The 20,052-nt window shown below is 38.6% G+C and overlaps 1 protein-coding gene and 1 long non-coding RNA gene across 6 annotated transcripts in view, besides 4 other annotated features; one reads left to right on the top strand and one right to left on the bottom strand.

The window, feature by feature from the left end:
- The window catches only part of USP38 (ubiquitin specific peptidase 38), a 38,958-nt gene extending 31,906 nt beyond the window's left edge, over positions 1–7,052 (bottom strand). For all 4 annotated transcript variants that reach the window (NM_001290326.1, NM_032557.6, NM_001410848.1 and 1 more), the window contains exons 1-2: positions 5,837–7,052; positions 4,008–4,143 (exon numbers count right to left, since the gene is read on the bottom strand). Coding sequence is in view for 3 of the 4 variants with exons in the window: in NM_032557.6 (NP_115946.2) it covers positions 4,008–4,143; positions 5,837–6,518 (818 nt within the window). In the remaining variant the exon portion in view is untranslated. The remainder of the gene's footprint in view (positions 1–4,007; positions 4,144–5,836) is intronic.
- Positions 6,232–7,116: an enhancer, noted in NCBI's record as "NANOG-H3K27ac-H3K4me1 hESC enhancer chr4:144106006-144106890 (GRCh37/hg19 assembly coordinates)". NCBI's record gives its function as "activates a minimal SCP1, AML or CMV promoter by ChIP-STARR-seq in primed H9 embryonic stem cells {active_cell/tissue: H9 hESC(primed)}" and the evidence as "EXISTENCE:reporter gene assay evidence [ECO:0000049][PMID:30033119]".
- Positions 6,661–6,910: a silencer, noted in NCBI's record as "silent region_15717". NCBI's record gives its function as "represses an Ori minimal core promoter by ATAC-STARR-seq in GM12878 lymphoblastoid cells {active_cell/tissue: GM12878}" and the evidence as "EXISTENCE:reporter gene assay evidence [ECO:0000049][PMID:35858748]".
- Positions 7,108–20,052, top strand: part of USP38-DT (USP38 divergent transcript) — a 396,420-nt gene continuing 383,475 nt past the window's right edge. Inside the window, exons 1-2 of one of the 2 annotated variants that reach the window (NR_136203.2) lie at positions 7,108–7,461; positions 13,873–15,672. This is a non-coding gene — a long non-coding RNA (USP38 divergent transcript). Of the gene's footprint in view, positions 7,462–13,872; positions 15,673–20,052 lie in introns of those variants that run through there. The other variant, NR_185979.1, reaches the window with a different exon arrangement.
- Positions 7,117–8,002: an enhancer, noted in NCBI's record as "NANOG-H3K27ac-H3K4me1 hESC enhancer chr4:144105120-144106005 (GRCh37/hg19 assembly coordinates)". NCBI's record gives its function as "activates a minimal SCP1, AML or CMV promoter by ChIP-STARR-seq in naive H9 embryonic stem cells {active_cell/tissue: H9 hESC(naive)}" and the evidence as "EXISTENCE:reporter gene assay evidence [ECO:0000049][PMID:30033119]".
- Positions 7,131–7,180: a silencer, noted in NCBI's record as "silent region_15716". NCBI's record gives its function as "represses an Ori minimal core promoter by ATAC-STARR-seq in GM12878 lymphoblastoid cells {active_cell/tissue: GM12878}" and the evidence as "EXISTENCE:reporter gene assay evidence [ECO:0000049][PMID:35858748]".

The following is a 20,052-nucleotide window of genomic DNA, read 5'->3' as shown; positions in this document are numbered from 1 at the left end:
CTTGCACATGTCTGAGGTTCTTCTCCAGTACAGGCAGGCACTGCAAGATAAGCTATTTTTATGGTTAACTATAGGAATCTTATCCACCATGTATCAGTGATTATCAATTTGAATTCCAAGGACACTTTCTTTTAACTCTGGTATACTGATTTAATATCTTACTATTTAAATAACATTTAACTATATACTTGTCATTTATGTACTCCACGACCTGTCTCCATTAGACTGTGAGCTTGAGAGCAGTAATCTCTCATATATCTTTGGATTCCCAGCACTTAGTGCCTGGCACTGAGTAGGAACTCAAATTTGTTAAATAAAGCATTTCTTTATATAGCTAAAGAAAAGTACATGCAACTTTAAAACCATAACAGTAAAACTGGCAAAAATTATGAAAGACACCAAGATTGGTTTAATCGTAATTTATGGAGAATAACAGCAATTTCCATTTTTACATGGCAGCTTGTGGGCTATAGGCAGCCTTCCCTTTTATTTGTTCCAATGTTTTAAACATTGAGAAATTTCACACAGAAAACTGGATTTCAGGCTTCTTTTGAAAAATCAGATAAAACAAGACTGGATTCCAATTTCCTTGTATTAACAGACAACTGGACTTGATGATCAGTTTTCTCTTTTAGAAGGTACTTATGTATCCCATTCCCTATCATTTCACTTATACCTGGCCTATTTCATATTTTAATGTTACCTGTTTGGTCCTGGTACGGTATCTACATTTGCATTTGCATTTCTATGGATTATAGAAAATGACTATAAACATGATCACTGCTATGTTTGGGAAAGTATAGTGCATGGGGAGGTATAAAGTGGGAGGTGGATGGTAAAAGCAAATATCACTATCCCTTTCAGTTACATTTTCTGTATAAGAGTAATTACTTCAGGTAGATTATGGGTACATAGGATCACGCAGGCTACACTGGAAATGTAATACAAAAACTGAGTCACAACTCCCCGTAGAAAAAAATAAGTAAAAATTAATTCCCAAATACATCTTGAAAAAAAATTCCTAAATTGGGTACTATAACTGTTTTTGAAGAGGCTGGAAAATTAAGAGCACTGAATGCCAAGAAGTGGAATATGAATTCGACTTAGTAGGTAGTGGAAGTCACTACAATGTCTTAATTAGAAGAGAAAAATCAGGAGTCCACATGGTTGACATAAGAAAAGTAAGTCACTGCTAGCAAAAAGACCAACTAAAAAACTGTGCAACGAGGAAAGCCTGATTTCTTCAAGGTAGTGGGGATAGAATAAGCATCATTTTAAGAAATGTCCTAAAGAAATAATCCAAAGGACTTATTAATTATGTTAATCAAAGGGAATGAAAGGATGGATTTGAAAATTGCTTATAGGTTTGTGACCAGATATCTAGAATTATTGTCAATTTAAGTAAAAAAAGAGAAAAAATAAACACCAACATCAGGCCATGAAGATAAGTTCTGCCTCTAAGAGAGTGACCCTAAGTGAGAAACTTGACTACCCTGGTTTGTTTCTTCATTGGTGACTATATCATAACTGGGAGCCAGATTTAAGTTCAAATACTGGATTCACTGTTTATTACCTGAACGAGCTTGGGTAAATTATCTAACCTCTCAGTTTCCTCAACTATGAGATGGGGCCAATAACAGTACCTATTTCAAAAGACTGTGGTGAGTATTAAATAGTTTATGTCATGTAAAGAAAATCTGCTACTATTACCCTATGCAATGAAAGTGATGGACCAACTAATTTCTAATTTCACTTCCAGCTGTAAAATCTGTAATTCTCTGAATGTGTTTTACTAGGAGGAAATAGAAGTTATAATACATTCATCCCAAAGAGAAAGACACTTTAGTGCTGTTACAGTCACACTGACAAAAGTGTGCTGCTGCTAAATACGGCACAGAAGGAGTTACATTATGAGGAGATGAACAAGATAACAGTTTCTTAAAAATAAATGAACAATGAGAACTTCACATAAAGACTTGGAAGTCAACTACATACAGATCAGAACTGATAAAGTGATGATAATAATGGGAAGGAAGAAAATAAAAAGAATAGATACAGAAAGAAATTCCTAACAGTATGGTGTCAGAGACAAAAATTTCAAGAACAATGAATAGAAAGATATCAAGGAGATGAGAATAAAAATACAGATTATCAAACACAGCAAGGGGATCATCAAAATTAAAAGCAATGGGGGTAGAGGTCACACAACAGGAAAAACATTTACATAAGAGTTTTCTCAAACGTACAAAGCACCTTCACAAATCTCGAAAGTCAAAGAGGGAATGAATAGTATGAAACTGGAAGTAAAAGTTACAGATAAATTGATTCAATTATGTTTAAGAGCACAAAAAGAAAGAAGAAACGCTAGAAGAGGAAGACCTTTTTAAACAATGAAGTGAAAAGGGGGATACGGTGGAGAAAATCAAAGTCCCCAGAGTTTGTGTTACAGAGAGTGAAGTTAGTACAAATGCAGCTGAGAACTCAATATGAATAGCTCAGTTTATATGTTACCTTATAATTTTATAACAGGGGCACAGAAACCATTTTGTCCAAATCCTTATATTGTATGTAAATGTGCTTAATATACACACACATGCAGGAAAAGAATTAAAAAACAAAAACAGGCAGGTATTAAATAAGAACAGACAGACACAAAAAACTCAATTAGAAAAAAATAGTCATTGAAATAAAGAAACTCAGTAACTAAGTAAGCTCTACAGATGAGCACCTTTGAAGAGAAAATTAGTGAACTATAAAATAGTACTGATATTCTTCCCCTCAGATATCCACAGGTTTGCTACTTCACATCCTTCATGTCTTCACTTCATGGTTACCTTAGTGAAGCCTTCTTCATCCATCTTATTTAAAATTGCAAACCACTTCCTCACAACCTGTCCCCCTTCCTGTCTACTCCTATCCCTCTTTTTGTCTGCTTTTTTTTCAAACATGTATCACTATCTAACATACTAAATTATTTTACTTATCATATTTAATCAAATCTAAAACAAAACCAATTTTAAGATGCATAATTAGCTTATATACCACTAAGGCAAGAAAAGCCGTGCCAATTTAACTAGGACATGAATGACTAGGCATTTCTACATTTAAACATCTTTGAAATTAGAAGACATGTTGGAATCAGTGAAGTGTGTTATTAAATTACTGTCTGCCTCCCCAACTAGAATGCAAGCCTATAAAGGCAGATATTTTTATCAGTTTGTTTGAGGACATTTTGAACACTGCCTGGCACTCATGGTAAGTACTCAGTAAGTGTGGTTTGAATAAATGAATGAATGACTGAATAAAAGTGCCAAAGTGCTAAGAAGGGCAAATAATATTAAGATTATACCTAGAAATGCAAGAATAAAATTACAGAACATCAAGGATAAAGAGAACATAAAAGTTTCCAGACAAGCTGACTACTCACAAAGGAATGACAGTCAGATTGACAGCTGACTTCCCACGAGCAACAACAGATGCCCAAAGGTAATACAGTATTATTTTTAAAATGCTAAGAGAAAATGGCTATCAAATTAGAATTCTGTATCTTGCCAAATCATCTATTTAAAACTGAGAAAGAAAAAAAATTCAAACAGGCAAAGGCAAAGAGTGTATTACACATTGAGCCTGGTTGAAAGAGAAAGTAAAGTATATACTTACTAAGGAAGAAAGAAAAAAAAACGCAGAAGAAAGAAATAGGTTGCAGGAAACAATAATGGGCAGTGAAATACTGTATACTGATAATCCAATCAACATCTGAGTGTATAATATGTGTATATGTGTGTATATTTTGGTAATTAAAAAAAGTTGAATTGAAAATAGATTTGTGAATTATTGGGATGCCTGTCAACGCTATAAACAATTCCAATCTATTTGGAGAATCTTTACATATGTCATTCCATGATTTTAGTTTTAAACATTCGTAAGTTTTTCATTACTCACAAAATACAAAATACTTCCTCTTCCCCAAATCTACAATTACCATTAATAGTGTCATGAAGAAGTACCTGCAAAGGGCTTGGGTCATACTTGCATCTTTTACATTTGGATCCGTAGTAAGGCTCCTGATGAGAACTGTAATCATCTGAAGAGGAATATGCTGCACAAGGCTTGCCAATGCTACAGAAGGTTCAAATGATGCATCTGTTTTTTCAATTAAAAAGAAAAGGGAACATGGCAAGTAGGTTCAAGTATTTAAAAAGAACAACACTTTACAAAAAAAAAAAGTCATTGCAGCAAAGGTGTTAACTAGGAAGGATTATTATGCTACACCCTCATGGGTAGACTCTTAATTTACAAGGAATGTTAAATTACAGGAATGAAAGATTAGGAGTGAACAGCAATGATCACTCATACTATAGACAGAATACTGAAATATATTGATATGGTTAGTCCATAAGTTACTTTAATTTTTCATAATTTATCGAGTTATTGTTGAGCTAAAATATTAACTTGTAAATCACTAATCAGAAAGGAAATATAAAGAAACATAAAGTATCATTTCAACTTCCACTTCAGACCCTCCAAAATAACTTTAAACTTATTGATCATTACATCCCTCTAAGGAAGATTTTGAAAAAATCTCTTAAAGTAGAAATGAAGGTGACTTTTGGGGGCACTTAAGTATCATTTCAACTCCCACTTCAGACCCTCCAAAATAACTTAAAACTATTCATCATTACATTGCTCTAAGGAAGATTTTTAAAAAATCTCTTAAAGTAGAAATTAAGGTGACTTTTGTGGAGATTTTGCTTAAACTGTATACAAATTAAGCAAATCCAAGACAAGTACCTTTACTGCTACAGTTCAAAAAATTTGGGAGGAACCTAACAGTTATGACAACACAGGCAATAGAAGTAAAATTACAATAAGAAAAAAAAACAAACCAACTCAGATACTGCAAATACATCGTTTGTAATTCTTTCGTAAATATATTAAATTCATCAGAACACAGAACGTTTGTTAAAACTCCACCTTTACTTCTGGTTCTTAAGATAAGAAGAGGACACATCCCTCACAAGTTCAATTTGAACAGCCACACAGTCCCCACTGGTGTTATAAATGAAGGAGAATGCTTGTACCAAGTAGAGCGGAAATGAACATGATTTTGAATCTATTCAGACCTGAAAGGTCCAAGACAGAACAACGAAGGTAGAGGTACTGGTAAAATTCCTCGGCGAGAAAGCATTTTCTAGGCAAGTATCATGTGACCCTTCTCTGCTTTCTGAGAATGCAGTTCATGGGCACAAAAACAAATATTTAAATCCTCGTACTCTTCCTTCCCTCATTCTATCTGTATTCCTCCTTTGTCTACTAGATACTGTAGACAAAAAATGTCACTATTTAAAAACTTCATAGTTATCTGGGATAATCCAGTAATAAAACAAACTGCACAATCCATTAATTCAAAAATGAGGAAATACAAAAATGGGGGAAAAACTCATTACAAAATTAGAGACACGTACAATAAATACTATGGTAAACATCATGCTACCATTAGTCACTAATGAATGGAAGCTTTCTGCAGTAGCTGTCATCCTCAAAGCATTCCAAATAACTTGAGCAGAGGCTGGGTAATTAAGCAACTTGTTTAGTGCCAAAGGTCTTAGACCTGGACGTTCTCAACCTTTAAAATGGGAACGCTGCCTGTTTTTAAAGTACGATGTGACGTCCTGAATAAGGTAGTGAATGTGAATAAATTTGGGATGAGGTATTAGGATTTGCTCTCGCTTAAGAATGTTTTTAGGGCAGGAGGAAAACATGGTGTGAATGTGTGTGTGCAAGAGAGACATATACTGATTTTTTATGAGATATTCTGAAAGATAATGACCCTTACCTGTGGAAGAGATGCTTGCAAAAACTTCTTGCAGGGAAGGCAGTAGTGTGGCAGGCTCGGCCTTCCAGATGTTCTGCAGCAAGTTACTCACTTTTGTCACCTGGGAGACATATTCCCGCAGCTCTCTTTCCTGGGTGGACACGCACTGGAAATGGCCTATCGTTCGAACCAGCTGTTGACAGAACGTGATGGACAATTTCCCCTTGGGGATGCATTGCACAAAGTCGGTCAGAAGGTCGCTCAGTCGGGCACAGAGCTGCGGCTCCGGCCTCTCACACACCATCCGTAACACCTCTACCTGCAGGAGGCTAAAGAGATCCAGCACCGACGGACAGCTCATAATCAGCTTCAGGCCGTTGTGAATGTAGTCCAGGATGGCTACATCCTTCCTGTCCAGAGAGTGGTAGCCCTGATGAAGGAGGCCCAACACGAAGGTCTTGTTGAAGAAGGACTCGAACTCTGGCCGGTGGTATCGTGCGTAGGCCTCCAGCACCTGGTGCCCCACCTGCCGCTGGAAAGGGTCCTGGCCCTCCAGGATGAGCCGGGTCGTCAGGTCAAACATGGCCTCGCACTGCGCCTCGTCTAGCCAGTGCTCCGCCGATTCCACCACCTTCCGCACAATCACCCGCTTGAGGGGCAGGGGATGCGAGGAACTCACAAGGCCCTCCAGGATCTTGTCCATTGTCGCCACGCTGCAAGGCCAGGGCCAGGGGATAAGGAGCGGGTGGCGGCAGCCCCGAGGTGGGGCAGGAGAGCCCCGGGGCGGAGATGAACTTGGAGCGCCGCAGCAGCAGCGCGACGGGCCACGGCCACCGCCGCCTCAGCAGCCACATTTATGGCGCAGGGAGACCCATCCAAGCCGGGGCGGGAGCTAGCGAGCCTGGAGAGCCTAAGAACCGACACCTGCGGCTGGCCTAAGGCGCCAGAGGCCCGTACTCCGCCGCCGCCCCGGGCCCTCGATCCCACTCAGCATCAGCGCCGAGGGGCCTGTCGGGCCCCCCAGCGGCGTCGGCGGGAGCTCAGGGCCCGGGGCTGCTAGCCGGCGGGTGGAGGAAGCACGCCTCCGAGTTCCGGGTCAGGTGTGGGCGTCCAGTCTCCAGCAGGTCGTGAGAAGAAGCCGGTCCTGGGCTGAGTCAGGAGGCGCTGTCACGGAGAGTGCTGGGATCAGCCGGGGAGAAGAGACCGAAGCGACACCCTTTGACCCGGATTTTGAAGTGCCGGCAAACAGGAAGTGAAGGACCTAAGAACCTCCGGAAGGACCGCCCCTCCGCCCCTCTGCCCCTCCGCCCCTCCGCCTGTCCGCCTCTCTCCTTCTCCCTTGTTCCCTCTCTCCCTCCCTGCTCCCCCACCTCCCTCCCGAGTCGTAGACTCCCTTCCCCCCGGCGCTGGGAGTCTCCTTCCCGCCCCGCCGCGCAGGTGCGGCGACGGCCGCGTCACTGGAGAGTGTGTCGAGTCACAGGCGGTCTTCCGCGCGGAGCGTCCCCGGCGGACGCTGCGCAGATGGCTGCGACTGTAGGATTCTTGCCGGCTAGTCTTCGTCGGTTCCGCCTGCGTCAGGTTACTCGTGAAAACTCGAATAAGTGCTATCGATGTGAAATCCGAGGAAAAGAGCATTTGGGGGAAAAGTAAGGAAAACTCAAAACTCGGATTGAGAAGTCTGCCTTGGCTCATTAATCAAGAATTGCGCTTGCGCGCCTAAATGTGACTGCCTTTATCCTGCGATGTCGGTATTGAAGTAAGAGCAATACTGGCGGCGTACCTAGCATTTAGCGACCATCAGTATCAGTAGCAGGCCTCTAGCAAAGAACCAGTTAGTGAGCTTTGTACCATATCGAAAATTATAAGCCGTCCAAAAAAGTGTGAGAGTAAGGAAAATGGCAGATTAGAATCAAAATATTTTTATACCTGTGTCATACAAGGGTACTTTGAAAATAGAAAACCAGGTGGAAATACCACAAAACTTATTGTATATGTTGACACCGAAGATGGTTTACAATAGGGAAGAACAGGTGCAATCATGCTTGTTCTGTTTCATGCCAAATTCCGAAGATTCACAGTAAGAATTTAATCAGAGGTCTTTATATTGGAAAATATTGCCTAACTGTAGCCTGCTTCAGGCTTGGTTAATATAGTTGTGAAACTAGACATTAAGGCCCTGTAATACAGACAAAACTTTAAAGAAATAGGTCATTTAAAATGTCCCGTAGAAAAATGAACAAAATTCTGTTACTTCAGTTTGCTAAATAGTGTTTTGTTTTTTTACCAAGTTACAAACACGATTACACTAATATATTCACACGTCGATTATGGTAGTCTTAAGAAGAGCAGTTTAGAGGAGACAGGAGCTTGAGTAAAAGGGAACTTAAGACCAAGTTGACTCGTAGGAAGATACGGAAGATAAAAGAGAATTGAGGTAATTAATCTATCAGTCATGCTAGAGACAGGAATGATTTTTCCAATAGGAGGTGAAGGTACACAGATGTTTGTCTTTACTGGGAATAATGCCACAGTGGAAGACAAAGGTAATATAGAAAATAAAATATTAAGAAGGAATTAAGTATTAAGAAGGATCGTGGATTTGAGGTGGAGTGGAGGAAATTTGGAATTAATCTTTGTGCTAAGAAACTAACAGGACGAATGAAGATTGCTGAATAGTACCAGCGAAGTGATTATTCCAAAGTAGACAAGAAAAAAATATTGGTAAATTTAAAACTTGACAGATTACTTTGAATTGTCTATAACATTTTCTTCTTTCTGTTAATATTAGGTCTTGAAAAATTGAATATTACAAAATAAGATGTCTGAGAGAACATAGTGCTATTAGTCCATATAAATTACATGTCATAATATTAGACTTCCAAAAGCACCATGACTCTGTATTTTTAAAATACCTCTTGAATGATAGATGCATGAAATGAAATACTAGGTTTTTATACCAAGATATTCAACGCTTATTTCCTTCTTTTGCCACTGGTTAAAAAATGTATGTAATATGCTCTTTTATAAGATTTCAATTGAAAGTGGCCAACTTTAAATTTATTTTATAGCATAACTAAAAGTTCTATAATAATACCATGTTCCTTTTTAACATTTTAAAATATTTTCAGAAGTCTGTGGAAGATTTTTTTGCAGTGAATCATGCCACTAATCATTGGATTAGTGGGTGCTATTGTAATGGGCTTTAAAATTTCATATAAAGATTTAGTCTAAGGCCTCAATTGCCAACTACATGGTTTTACAAATATGTTAGATCTGAGAATGGAAGCTGAGTGATGGGGATGAAAGAGAAAAAGCACAGGATAAGGAGTGATTGTTTATTTAGCAACCTCTGTGTGCCTGGAACTCAATATATTACACTTTATCCTTAGTTCTCAAAACGGGGTTTTGGAAATAGATGTTAATAGCTACATTTTATAGATAAGGTATTGAAGCCAAAGGAGGTTAAAAAAAATAATCAAGTCTGACTCTAGAGTCTCTATTATTTCCATCATACTATTAGATGAAAAGTGTGTGTATGTGTTTATGTTTGTGATAAGCAAAGAGAAAAGGCAGTTCCAAAAGCAGTGGTTAGAGTTGGCCAACTGCAATAACATTATTGTGAGGTTAGTTTTCTCTTAGGAAATTTATATCACCTAATAGAATCAAAAGCAAACTGATTGTATAGATTAGAGAGGACTGTGATAAATAAACCATCATATGAAGTAATTACAAATAATCCCTGACTTTATGAAATTTATATTCATATGTTTTTTAAGTTGTAAAGAAAAAAAGACTGTAAAGAAACACACCAACCACTTTGATATGGTTTTTGTTTTAATGACTTAAAATGGACATCAAGCTAATCTTACGACACTATTTCATTTAATTTTTTTCACAGTGCAAAGTGAAAGCAAGTTTATTAAGAAAGTAAAGGAATAAAAGACAATTAAAAATTAAAAATATACCATTGGCTACTTCATAGGCAGAGCAGCCTCACTACCCTATTTTAAATCTTCCAGTGCTTCTCCTCTTAAAATTCAAATGGCTACTGTTGACTTTAAGGCCCTCCATCAAGTTGCTCTTGTGTCTTTTCCTACTGTTCTCATTTATTATATGTTTACAGCCTTTTTCTGTTCTCTAGAATCTAAGCTTCATGAGGTCAAAAAGAACCCCTTAATTTTATTAGTTACTTCTATATCTAGCAGTTAGAACACTAGGGTAAACAATCTATCAATTTTTTTTGTCTGTGAGATGAAGTCTCTCACTCTGTTGCCCAGGCTGGAGTGCAGTGGTGTGATCTCAGCTCACTGCAGTCTCAGCTCACTGCAATCTCCACTTCCTGGGTTCAAGCAATTCTTCTTCCTCAGCCTCCTGAGTAGCTGGGATTATAGGCACCCACCACCACACCTGGCTAATTTTTGTATTTTTAGTAGAGATGGGGTTTCACCATGTTGGCCAGGCTGGTCTTGAACTCCTGACACAAATGATCCTCCCATCTCAGCATCCCAAGGTGCTGGGATTACGTGAGCCACCATGCCCAGTTCAATCTAACTATTTTTTGAATGAATGAACTTTTAAAAAATGAAATGAAAAACATGGTTTAGAAAAAGTCGTAAGGAGTCTACACAGTAATTTCTAGAACTAAAAAACAAACTCAGCAGGGTTTCAGAATATAAGATAATAGACAAAAATCAGTTGTACTTTTATGTACTAGCAATGAACACATGGAAACCAAAATTAAAAATATACCATTGATAATTGCTCAAAATAAAAACTATGTAGGTGTAAATCTGACAGTGGATGTACAGGACTCATGCTGAAAACAACAAAACACTGATGAAAGAAATCGAAGATCTAAATAAATGACCATATACATGGATTGGAGGACTCACCATAGTGTAGATGTTAATGATCTCTAAATCGATATGCAGGTTTAATACAATTCCTATTAAAACTCCAGGCAGGTTTTTTTTTTCTTCTTCATATACAGGCAAGATTATTCTAAAATGTATTTGGAAAAACAAATCAGAGTAGCTTCAACAATTCTGAAAAGGAGGAATTAAGTGAGAGGGATCATTTTACCTGTGTTTGTTCTTATGCTGCTAATAAAGACGTATCTGAGACTGGGTAATTTATAAAGGAAAGGTTTATAAACACAGTTCAGCATGGCTGGGGAGGCCTCAGGAAACTTAAAATCATGGTGGAAGGGGAAGCAAACATATCCTTTCACATGGCAGCAGGAAGGAGAAGAACGAGAGCTGAGCTAAGGGGGAACCCTGTTATAAAATCATCAGATCTCGTGAGAACTTATATCACGAGAACAGGAAGGGGGAACCTGCCCCCATGATTCAATTATATCCACCTGTTTCTTCCTTCAACACGTGGGGATTATGGGCATTGCAATTCAAGATAAGATTTGGGTAGGGACAGAGCCAAACCATATCACTACCCAAAAATAATACTCATTGTATGCCAGGGTAATTAAGACAGTATGGTAATGGCAGAGAGACACATAGATCAGTGAAATGGGCAACAATAACCTAGACCCACACAAATACACCAAACTGATTTTTGACAGAGATTCAAAAGCCATTCAGTGAAGGAAGGATGGTGTTTTCAACAAATGGTGCTGGAGTAACTGGATGTTCATAGGCAAAAAAGAAATGAGAAAATTCTATAACTGGGAGAAAACAACAGTACCACTGGACTGTACTGCTACAGGGTTTCACAGAAGCCCCAAACTTATTTGGTCAAATCTTAGTCCTGGAGGAATTCCAACCTTCCAGGGGAACCCAGTTGTTACAATATGTAGATGAACTTTTAATATCTGGCAAAAGGAAGGCCGAGTGATCAGAAACCACCATAATCTTGCCTTATTTTCTTTGAGAAAGGGGATTGCGAGTCTCTAAGAACAAATTGCAGTTTGTAGAAAAAGAAGTTAAATATTTAGGACACCTGATTGGTGAAGGGAAGTGGATAATAAACTCAGAATATTGGGAATAGTGGGTTTGCCTTTGCCTAAGACAAAGAGAAAACTCCAAAAATTTTTAGGTTTAACTGGCTACAGTAGGTTATGGATTGACTCATATGCTTAAAAGACAAAATTCTGTATCTCAAGTTACTAGAAGAGGAGCCCAATCCCTTGTAATGGTCCCTAGATGAAATTAAGGCAGTGAAAGAGCTAAAGCAGGCCCTCATTACAGTCCTGGTCCTGGCCCTCCCATCTTTAGAGAAACCATTCTATCTGTTTGTAACAGTAGACCGGGGCATGGCCCTTGGGGTGCTCACTCAAACCTGGGGAGGGAAGAGGCAACCTGTTGCTTTTGTCTCCAAGCTTCTCGATCCTGTCTCTCAGGGGTGATCTGAATGTGTGCAAGCAGTAGCTGCGACAGCCCTGCTGGTAGAGGAGAGTCGAAAGCTAATGTTTGGTGGGGCCCTAATAGTAAACACCCCACACCAGGTCAGGAATATATTAAATCAGAAAGCTGGGAGATGGTTAGTGGATTCTCAGATTCTAAAATATGAAGCCATATTACTAGAAAAAGATTATTTGGTTGTAACACCAGATACTTGCCTGAATCCAGCCAGTGTCCTATGGAAAGGAGACCAGAACAAAGAGACATCAGATCATAACTGCTTAGATACCATAGAATACCAAGCCAAAGTTAGACCAGACCTTAGGGAAGCTCCACTACGTGATGGATTAGACTGTTTGTGGATGGGTCATCCGGAGTGATAGATGGCAAGGGACTTAATGGTTATGCTGTCTTTGATGGAAATAAACACTCATTATGTGAGAAAGGTAGATTACCTAATGGCTGGTCGGCCCAAAAATGTGAATTACATGCTCTTGACCAGGCCCTAAAGCTCCTTGAAGGCCAGGAAGGAAATATATATACTGATTCTAAATGTGCCTATGGGGTGGTACACACTTTTGGAAAAATCTGGACAGAGCGGGGCCTAATAAATAGCAAGGGAAAAGAATTGGTACACGGGGAACTGGTCAAACAGGTTTTAGAAAGTCTCCTGCTTCCAGCAGAGGTAGCCATAGTTCATGTAAATGATCATCAGAACGGGAACACTATAGAAGCTGTAGGAAACAGGTTTGTGGATGAAGCTGCTAGGCAAGCCTCCCTGGAGGAAGAAATTAGACTATTTAGCCTGATACCAGACATCCCTAAGGTGGTATTAAGGCCTCAGTTTACCAGAGAGAAGAAGGAAGAATTAGGCAGGATAGGGGTCACTCAAACTGAAGATGGGAAATGGGTACTTTCTGATGGGAGAGAAATGATAAGTAAACCCCTGATGAGAGAACTGATGTCTGTATTACTCCCCAAAGGGAGTCACTGGGGACCCCAGAGTCCGTGTGATGCAATATTTAAGAATTATGGATAGATAGGGATTTATACCCTCGCTAAACAAGTATGTGGAAGTTGTGTAACTTGTCAAAGGATAAACAAAGAGGTGATTAGAAAACAGTTCATGGGAGGAAGACCTCCTGGACTAAGACCATTTCAGAGCATTCAAGTAGATTTCACATAAATACCCAAAGTAGGAAGACTGAAGTATTTACTGGTGATTATAGGTTACCTTTCCAGCTGGGTGGAAGCCTTTCCCCTTCCAACAGCCACTGCCAGGAATGTAGTCAAAATAATATTATAACAGACTGTACCTAGATTTGGCCTGGTGAAAAACGTTGATTCAGACAATGGCAGCCAATTTACCTCCCGGGTGTTAAGGGGAATTATGGAAGGTTTACAAATTAGATGGGATTATTACACCCCTTGGCATCCCCCTTCCTCTGGAAAGGTAGAAGGAATGACTGAAACTCTCAAAAAGCATTTCACCAAACTAATAAACTAAAATGCCTTGGACAAAATGTCTCCCAATAGCACTCCTTAGGAAGTCCCAAGAAAAGACTTGGGATTGTCCCCCTATGAGTTATTATATGGGCTCCTGTATTTGGGCAGAGCTACAGATCTTCCTACTATGGAAACCAAGGATCAGTTCTTAAGAAATTATATACAGTCATTATCCTCCACCCTGTCATCCCTTAGGTTAAAAGGACTTCTGACTCAAACTCCTCCTCTTGAGTTTGCAGTTTGCCACTTCCAGCCTGGCGACTAGGTGCTGATTAAGACTTGGAAAGAAGACAAGCTCCACCCAAGCTGAGAAGGTCCCTGTCAAGTGCTGCTGACCCCTGAGATGGCCATATGTACAGCTGAATGGGGGTGGACTCACTATACTTGTCAAGGGACTGGTAAAAGAGACCCTGGAAGGGTGGGAAAAAGACCAGTGGAAAGTACATGGGTCACCTGAGGAACCCTTAAAATTAACTCTGAGATGAATCTAAAAAGAAAACATGGGCTGGTCCCATTTCTGGAAATTAATATGGCTGGGATGGGCTACTATGCAAAGAGAAGAAGGTCAAAGTAGAAACTATCAGGGGACTCCTCCCTACCCACTCAGGTTGGTAATTAATGTAAACAAGATGGTGGCACCCAAGACTATAAGATTTGATGACTGCCAAGGTTTTTACCTTGTAAGAATTTGGAAAATCAGAGACAGCTCTCACATGTGGATAAATATCCACTTCATATGAGGTGCTTGGAATAGTCAAATTAGAGGTTTCTAGGGGCTAGGGAGAAAATAAATGGGGAGTTATTGTTTAATAGGTACAGAGTTTCTCTTTCAAAGAATGAAAAGTTCTGTAAATGGATAGTGGTGATGATTGCACAACAGTGTGTACTTAATGCCACCGAACTGTACACTTAAGAATGGTAAATTTTAGGTTATATTTTACCACAATAAAAAATTAAAATCAACAGTAAAGAAATCAATCCAATTAAAAATGGGCAAAAGATTTCAAGACACATTTCAATGAAGAGGATTTACATATGGCAAACAAATGGAAAGTTGTTTAACATTTCTAGCTAATAGGGAAATGCAAATTAAGACCATGAGATATTATAACACATTTATTAGAGAACCACTAAAATAAAAAATGGTGACAACATTAATGCTGGCAAAGATGCAGACAAACTGATTTCTCATACATTGCAAGTGGAAATGCAAAATGGTTTAACCACTCTGGAGAATTGTTTGGAAGTTTCTTAAAAATTAAACATGCAGCTATCATATGATCAAACTGTTGAACTACTAGGTATTTATTCCAGAGAAATGAAAACTTATGTTCACACAAATACATATACACAAATGTCCAAAGCAGCTTTATCTGCAATAGCCAACAACCAAAAACAATCAAAATTGTCATCAGTAGGTGAATGGCTAAACAAACTATGGTCATCAGTATGCTGAATGGCTAAACAAACTGTGGTACATTCTTACTGTGGAATATTACTTAGCAATAAAAAGAAAGAAACTATTGATGGACACAACTTGGATGGATTTCAAGGGCATTTTTATGCCAAGTGAAGAAAACTAATCTCAAAAGTCACATACTATGTGATTCCATTTGTACGACATTCTCAATATGAGGAAATTTTAGAGATGAAGAACAGATTAGTGGTTGCCAAGGGCTAGGTATAGATGGGAGAGGCAGAGGGATGAGTAGAACTTTTAATAAAGGGGTAGAATGAGGGTAATTCTTGTGGTGATAGAATAGTTCTGTACCTTGATTGCGACTGTTGCATGACTCCATGTGTGGTAAAGTGGCATGGAATTATACATATGTTGTATCAATATCAATTTCCTGATTGTGATATTATGCTATAGTTATGTAAGAGGTAACATTGAGGTATAACTGAGTGAAGAGTACAGAGGATTTCTCTGTATTATCTTTGCAACTTCGTGTGACTGTATAATGATTTCAAAATTAAAAAGTTTAAAACATTTAAGTCTTTAATCCATCTTGAATTAATTTTTGTATAAGGTGTAAGGAAGGGATCCAGTTTCAACTTTCTCCATATGGCTAGCCAGTTTTCCCAGCACCATTTATTAAATAGGGAATCCTTTCTCCATTTCTTGTTTTTGTCAGGTTTGTCAAAGATCAGATAATTGTAGATATGTGGCATTATTTCTGAGGACTCTGTTCTGTTTCATTGGTCTATATCTCTGTTTTGGTACCAGTACCATGCTGTTTTGGTTACTGTAGCCTTGTAGTATAGTTTGAAGTCAGGTAGCATGATGCCTCCAGCTTTGTTGTTTTGGCTTAGGATTGACTTGGCAATGCAGGCTCTTTTTTGCACCAAAAGCAGTCCTAAAAGGGACATTTACAGCAAGAAATGCTTATGGCAAAAAAGAGAAAAGATCTTAAATAAACATTCTAATTGAAAAAAAAGTTTAAAACACAACACCCCTTAAAAAACCAACCCTGGCCATAAGTGGCCTGTACTTTCAATTAGGTGACTTTAGTCTGCCCTGTTTGATCTTCCCCACCGAAACAAACCCCAAACTCCATAATATTTAGAAACTAAGAGATTGGAACTTCCGACATCATGTTTTTTATTTATTTATTTATTTTTGAGACAGAGACCCGCTCTGTTGCCCAGGCTGGAATGAAGTGGCATGATCTCAGTTCACTGCAATCTCCGCCTCCTGGGTTCAGGAAATTCTCCTGCCTCAGCCTCCCAAGTAGCTGAGATTACAGGCGTGCACCACAATGCCTGGCTAATTTTTGTATTTTTAGTAGAGACAGGGTTTCAACAGGCTGGTCTTGAACTTGGCCAGGCTGGCCTTGGAAATTCTGGCCTCAGGTGATCCGCCTGCCTCAGCCTCCCAAAATGTTGGGATTACAGGTGTGAGCCACTGTGCCCAGCCAGGATTATGTTTTAAGAGGCAAATGGATTCATGACTATGCATAGACAGTGGCCTATGCAGCCTATGAGGCCTACTACACATTAATTCTTGCTCTTATCTAACTAGATGTAAATGGGAAACAAGTTATTAATAAATCATTGTTGCTAGAAATAAGGGTTTTAGTTCTAGTATTTATTAAATACGATTAAAATGTAGGGATTATATATATATCTATTTGAATTCTGTGTAATAAGGATTCCAACATGGGCCCTCTATCAGTTGGAATTGCTGTGACAGATTCTTTATGAAAAATAATCTAGAGAGTAATTGTCTCAGTCAGCTTGGGCTGCCATAACAAAATACCATAGACTGGGTGGCTTAAACAGCAGAAATTTATCTTCTAACAGTTCTGGAGGCTGGAAGTCCAAGATCAAGATGCCAGTAGCGTTAGTTTCTGGTGAGTGCTCTCTTCCTAAATTGCAGATAGCTGTCTTCTTGCTGTGTTTTCACGTGGCCTTTCCTCTGTGCATGACAGGAGAGAGAAGGATCTCTGGTTTCTCTTTTTATAAGAACATGGGTTCTATTGGATTAGGCCCCACCTTTATGACCTCATTTAACCTCAGTTACCTCCTTAAAGGTTCTATCTTCAAATGCCCATTGAGGCTTAGGGCTTCTACATATACATTTTTTTGGGGGGGAAGGAGGAAAAAATTCAGTCCATAACAGAAACCAATTTTTTCTCTGTGGATTGCATTATTGCTATTACCTAATAGACATAAAGCTAGTTTTTCTCAATGAGACACCTAAAATTGAGTGACTTTTTTGAGTTGTTGCCAGATCTATTAATTAAAATTTTAATTGGGGTAGGGCACAGAAATCTGTGTTGTTAGTAGACCCCAATTGATTCTTCTGCATTACCACGTTTGAGTACATTAATCTAAGCAAACCCTCTCCCCACATTAAATTGCGGTTGAGAAACTAGATGGGGAAAAGTTAGGCGTCTTATTGACACAGCTATAACTTTACTAGGTTATGAATTTCTCAGTGTATAGTGGATTGCACTAAAGACTTTGGAGGGATGGTATAAAAAGAAACTCACTTTGAGAGACTTAAATATTGAAGGCATCTTAGACTGCTGGCAAAAGCCATAGCTGAAGAAGCAAGGAGACTAGGATTAAAATTCAAGCATGGTGAACCTCTGCGAGCGTCCATTCGTCTGATGCTAAATAATTCATCTTAATTAGATTAGTAACCTAAGACTTGATATTATAAGCAAGGGCAATTTAGGTAGTGATAATACTTACAAGATCTGCTTCAGATAGAGTTGGTCTAAACAAAGTTTCTTAGAATACTAAATTGTTTTTTAAATTAAAAAATTCGATTGCTGGTTGGCAGTTTAATTCTCTGTGGGGTATATGGAATTTACATTCAATATGATCCAAAGATGCATGATAAGTAAGTAAAACATATAGTGTGTTAGTTGGTGTAAAGTGCTATGAGGAAAAGTAATTCAGGGAAGGGGGTGATAGTAATTACAGTTTTAAGTAGTATGATCACGAAATGCTTGTTAAGAGTGGTGACATTTGAGCAAAGCTCCAAAGGACCCTGCAGACATCTGGGGGAAAGAGTAGTCCCACAGAAGGACCAGCAACTGCTATGGCTGGTGTGGCTGGAGTGATTTCAAGGGAGGCTGTTAGGAACGGAAGTCAAATAGCATGGGCTATTGCAAACACTTTGGCTTGTACTTCAGGTGAGGTAGAGAGACATTGGAGGGTTTTAAGCAGAGAGATGGCATGATTTGACTTGATGTTTTAAAAATATCAGTCTGCAATATTATCAAAGTCAATTCTTTCCAAAGTTATTATTTTTTTTGGAAATTTAATATAGTCACAACTACAGTGCCACCAGGTAATTTTTTTCATGGAGTTAAACCTATGTTCAATATACAGTTTAATTGGGAAAATTAAATGTGTTTAATTTAAATTTAAATTAAATAAAACCATACAAGTACTAGAAAACCTAGGTGAATTAATTTTAATCTAGAAGTGAGGAAACCTTGCTAACTGTTACTCAAAATCCAGATAAAATAAGGAAAAAAATGGAAAAGTTTATTACATAAAAATTAATAATTTGTATGGGAGGAAAGAAGAAAAATAGAAGATAAATTACAAGTTAGGAAAAAACATTTGCAGGTTAGTCATGGGCAAAAAAGGAGTTTGATATACCTACTATATAAAGAGCTCCTGAAAATAGATTGGAAAAAGGCCAACAACTCCATAGAAAAGTGGGCTAGAACAGTTTACAAAGAGATGGCCATCCGCCATGGGAAGAGATACGCAACATCACTCTTAATAAAATAAATGTAAATTAAAATTATGCTTAAATGTATTTCTCATGTGTCAGACAAAAATTCCAAAGTTTGACCACATGCTTTGTTGTTGAGGCTGTGGAGAAACAGGCATTCTCATACATTGCTGATGGGAATGTAAAATGATATATAGAGGTGAATCTGGCAATAATAAAATTACCTGCATTTCCATGTGATCCAGCAATCTTACCTGAGGGAATCTATCCTTAAAACATACTGGTAAAAATATGAAAACACATGTACTATATGTGTGCAAGTCTTCTTATGATAGCAGTCTTTGTAGTAACCAAAGACTACTGTAAGTAAACCAAGTTTCCATGAGTAGGGGAATGGCTGATAAAGTAAATCTGCACAATTGAGTCCATTAAAAAAAAAAGAGCGATCTTCAGAATATACTATTAATTTTATTTATTTTTTATTTTTTATAGTTTGAAGAGTTTTTTTATTATACTTTAAGTTCTAGGGTACATGTGCACAACGTGCAGGTTAGTTACATACGTATACATGTGCCATGTTTGTGTGCTGCACCCATTAACTCGTCATTTAACATTAGGTATATCTCCTAATGCTATCCCTCCCCACTCCCCCAACCCCACGACAGTCCCCGTTGTGTGGTGTTCCCCTTCCTGTGTCCATGTGTTCTCATTGTTCAATTCCCACCTATAAGTGAGAACGTGTGGTGTTTGGTTTTTTGTCCTTGGCGGTAGTTTGCTCTGAATGATGGTTTCCAGCTTCATCCATGTCCCTACAAAAGACATGAACTCATCATTTTTTATGGCTGCATAGTATTCTGTGCTGTATATGTGCCACATTTTCTTAATCCAGTCTATCACTGTTGGACATTTGGGTTGGTTCCAAGTCTTTGCTATTGTGAACAGTGCCACAATAAACTTACGTGTGCATGTGTCTTTATAGCAGCATGTTTTATAATCCTTAGGGTATATACCCAGTAATGGGATGGCTGGGTCAAATGGTATTTCTAGTTCTAGATCCCTGAGGAATCGCCACACCGACTTCCACAATGGTTGAACTAGTTTACAGTCCCACCAACAGTGTAAAAGTGTTCCTATTTCTTCACATCCTCTCCAGCACCTGTTGTTTCCTGACTTTT

The sequence above is a fragment of the Homo sapiens genome, chromosome 4 (genome assembly GCF_000001405.40).
Source record: "Homo sapiens chromosome 4, GRCh38.p14 Primary Assembly".
NCBI classification, from domain to species: domain Eukaryota; kingdom Metazoa; phylum Chordata; class Mammalia; order Primates; family Hominidae; genus Homo; species Homo sapiens.
This window is presented reverse-complemented; position numbering and strand designations above follow the sequence as displayed.